The following is a 4,199-nucleotide window of genomic DNA, read 5'->3' as shown; positions in this document are numbered from 1 at the left end:
TTTTGAGGAGTCAAAAGTTATACATGGATTTTTGGCCAGGTGCAGTAGCTCATACCTGTAATCCCAGCAGTTTTGGAGGCTGAGGTGGGTTGATCACTTGAGCCCATGAGTTTGAGACCAGCCTGGGCAACATAGCAAAACCTATCTCTTAAATTTAAAAAATTGTAATTAAAAATAAATCAATAAAAAGTTATACATGGATTTTTAACTGTGCAGCAGGTCACCACCACTAACCCCAGTGTTGTTTAAGAGTCAACTGTATATTATCTTAATGTAATAATTATAAACATGTTACCACAATAATAAACCTATTATCATTACAAACCCTATCATATAAAAAGATAAACATATTAATTTATGCAATCAGTATTCATTTAGATCTATCCATTTATTATTTATCCTCTACATTGTTCTTTATTTCATCCTGAATTCCTAAATTGCCATGAAGGATCACTTTTCTTCTACCTGGAGAATACTACTTATTATCTTCTTTAGCATTAATCTTCTGGTGAGAAATTATCTTGGCTTTTGTCAAAGAATGTCTCCATTTTTCCTTAATTTTTAAAAGTAGTATTCTGGATAGAGAATCTAGGTTGATAGTTTTTTTTTCCTGCACTTTGAAGCTATCATTTTATTGCCTTTTGGCTTCCATTATTTTTAGCTGTTATCTTTGTTTCTTTGAAAGTAACATATCTTCTCTCTGGATGCTTTATAAGGTTTTCTCTTTGTCTTTAGCTTTAAGCAGTTTGACTATGATATGACTAGGGATGATTTTCTTTGTATTTACTGCATAAGGTTCTTATAGCTTCTTTAATATATGGATGAATGTCTTTTATCATTTTTGAATAATTCTCATCAAATATCTTTAATCGTATTTCTTCCATATTCTCTCTCTCCTCTGTGATTCCAATTCCATGTTTTAGACTGTTGCATCTTATTATGTGTCTCATGTTCTTTCATTTTCCACCTTTTATCTTTCTTTGCTTCATTTACATATGTTCTTCTAATTTATTTTTCAGATTACTAATTTTCTTTTCAGCTGCATCTAATCTACTATCAAAAACACATCCACTGAGCTCTCATTTTCAAGCATTTCTCAGTAGAAATTTTATTTGATTCTCTCCTACAGTTTGTTATTCCCTGCCAAAATTCCTCATCCTGTCACCTAGTGCTTTGAGTGTTTTAATAATTATTATTTTAAAGTCCCTGTCAAATAATGCCAATATCTGAATTCCCTGTAGTTCTATTTCTGTTGACTGTATTTTTTCTTGGTTTTTGTTCTAATCTTGCCTTTTTGTCTTCCCAGCATTTTTGTAATTGTGTGCTAGACCTTGTAGATTAAAAGTGTAGAATATTTTAACCCCCTATATTGTATTAGTCTTAGCCTGGATTCCTCCAGAAAGGAGAACCTGAGACCTTGATTTGTGTGCAGGTTAATTTTGTTAGTAATCCAAGCACACAGGAGTGGGATTCTGAGAAGAATGTGACAGGGAAAGAGAGAAAGCCAATTCATGAGTACACTCTTGAATCGGTCATTACTGGGGGTAACTGGGGGTTGATCCAAGCTAAGACCTCGTAAACAACAACAACAAAAATCTAATTGCGTCTCAAAATGTCCTGCCTAAAGAATGGAAGAAAGAAGCATTTATTCCCCAGCTCACATTCCCCATTGGTCAAGGGTTGCTTATGGGTGGTTAATTCCATTTCACTTCCAGGATGCATGTGCGTGATGGAAAGGTAGATTCCCATGGACAGAGGCGTCAGAGTAGCCCTGACATGGGAAGTTAGAGATAGCAAAGGCTGAGGCAGGTGATGTTGAGTTACAGCTGCACAAAATTAGTTGCGGCAACAGTGGCTGGAATAAAATACAGAGCAGTAAAATATGAGGAGGGATGGAAAAAACTTCCAGTCTCTTTCCAAAGAGGGTATATTTTGCTTCTAACAGGCAGTTAGGTTAGGAAAAGATGAACCTGATTCAATCATGGATTTTAATGGCTCAGAGCCGAGCTTCAGTCCTTCTGAAGGACGGTCTGTTTCTAGCTCTCCCTTACTGCTAAGGAGCAGCTCTCCGGGGTCCTAAATCAATCCTAGGGTGTTTACCAGGGCCCTCCTTCTGTGGCTGTCTCTGAATGCCCGTATTTTTTGCCCTAGCTCCATAAATCTGCCTTCAAATCAATGAATGCCTTAGGGGGAAAAGTGGTTTGAAATATCAGACTCAGCGTTAACGGTTTCTTTTCTTTCTGGGATCTTGGCCCCTTGAATCCTGGTTGCCTTTGGTAGCTTTCCAAAGCCTTTGATCAGATTTTGTTTTTTACGCCCAGGTTTTCTAGTTGTTCTCAGCAGGAAGATTTGTCCAAAACAAGTTAGCTGCCATTGCCGAAAGCAAAACCTTCCCATTTGTTTATGAAAAGTTTTTGGAGGTAGACATGTACCTTCAAGTGCTAAAAACAGCCTTAAAAAACAATCGCCTCAAAGTCTGGGTTGGGCTTTGCATCCATGCTCTCCTCCTCTTTCTAGGACCCCTGCCCCCGGCCCTGCCATAGCTGTCACAATGTCTGGCACCTGGCACACACTTAATATGTGTTAAGTGAATGCACACCCTGCAGAGTTGCTTGCTGTGTCCACGGAGGATGCTGTGGGGGTTGGGAAGACCATCCTCTTCCTTCAAAGTCCGTGTGGGGCTGACAAGAAGCTAAGGTGGGGATGAAAGGTCCCACAGACTTTAACACTCATAAGACCCCCTGGGAGAAGACTGATATGAGCTCATTTCTAGATCCCATCCTGGAGTTTTAATTTAACTCTAAGGCCAATGTCTACTGGGAAAATATGCACTAAGCAACAATGGCTCCAGCACTAATAATTGCCCAAGACCTGGAATTCCTAGTTCAAGGGTGGCCCAATTTGGGGACCCCTTATAGAGGATCTCCAGGCCAGAACAAGCTGGGCCTGAAGATACAATATCTACTGGAATGGTGTCTCCCAAAGCGTGTGACCCCAAGTGACTTTGGATGGTAGAGGGGCCACCGCTTGAAACAGCATTGAATCCCAGAGTAAGTGACTCTTTTTCTATCCTCATTCAGTCCATTCAATTAAATCAAGGAGAAAGGCTCAGGATGGTGCTAGGAGGTCCTTAACCCTTCTCCAACACATGTCCATCTTCCTTTTTAACAAAAGACGGGCAGTTCTCGGGTTAAGAGCCTTCTTAGGCACAAGTATCAGCTAGCAGACAATAACATGATTCACTGTATTTCTCTTTACTTGTAAAGTCTATTTATAGAACATTATATTGGCTTTCCATTTACCTTAGTGACATAAGTTTAAGTAAACTTTTATGTCAACAAAAATATTAAGTTAATAGTAGCTTTAATTGTACATAGCTGGAGCAAAAACCATGAAGGTTGTGTGCAAAGAAGTGAAATTTGAGAAACAGTGTCCTGAAGCAGTTCTCCTTCACTGGGAACAGACAGATGATGATGAGAACAAAAGATGTGACCTCAGGGAACCTAGGAAGCCAGAAACCCACACCAAGGGGCCTGGCCTGTTAGTTCCTACCACCCAACCAGGAAGGAATGAGGGTCAGTCGGGAGCAGACGGGTACCAGCCTCTCCGACCTCCGCCAGAGATAAGTTGCTTGGGGTCAGGACCAGCCATTTCCTAGTGATGCTGGTTTCCAACATAAACACTCCTTTAAGGAATCCAGCATTTTTTCTAGCACCTCTTGAGACTGAAAGAGATGCATGTGAGACTCTGAAGGAGAAGGTGAGGAGCCGGTGGGGGCAGTGAAAACTTTCACATGGGACTCAAGAGAAGTGGAAAGAAGTTTGTAAAAGGAGCCAGGTGCGTTTAAGCATTCACAAGACGTTTTCTATGGGCTCTGTTTCTCTCTCTCTCTCTCTCTCTCTCTCTCTCTCTCTCTCTCTCTCTCTCTCTTTCTCTCTGTGTGTGTGTGTGTGTGTTGTGAGACACAGTCTCACTCTGCTGCCAGGCTGGCATGCAGTGGTGCAATCTTGGCTCTACTGGAACCTCCACCTCCCCGGTTCAAGAGATTCTCCTGCCTCAACCTCCCATGTAGCTGGGACTACAGACGCCCACCACCATATCCAGCTAATTTTTGTATTTTTAGTAGAGATGGGGTCTTGCTGTGTTGTCCAGGCTGGTCTTGAATTCCTAACCTCAAGTGATCTGCCCACCTCGACCTC

Source organism: Homo sapiens, chromosome 20, assembly GCF_000001405.40.
Source record: "Homo sapiens chromosome 20, GRCh38.p14 Primary Assembly".
Classification (NCBI taxonomy): domain Eukaryota; kingdom Metazoa; phylum Chordata; class Mammalia; order Primates; family Hominidae; genus Homo; species Homo sapiens.
This window is presented reverse-complemented; position numbering follows the sequence as displayed.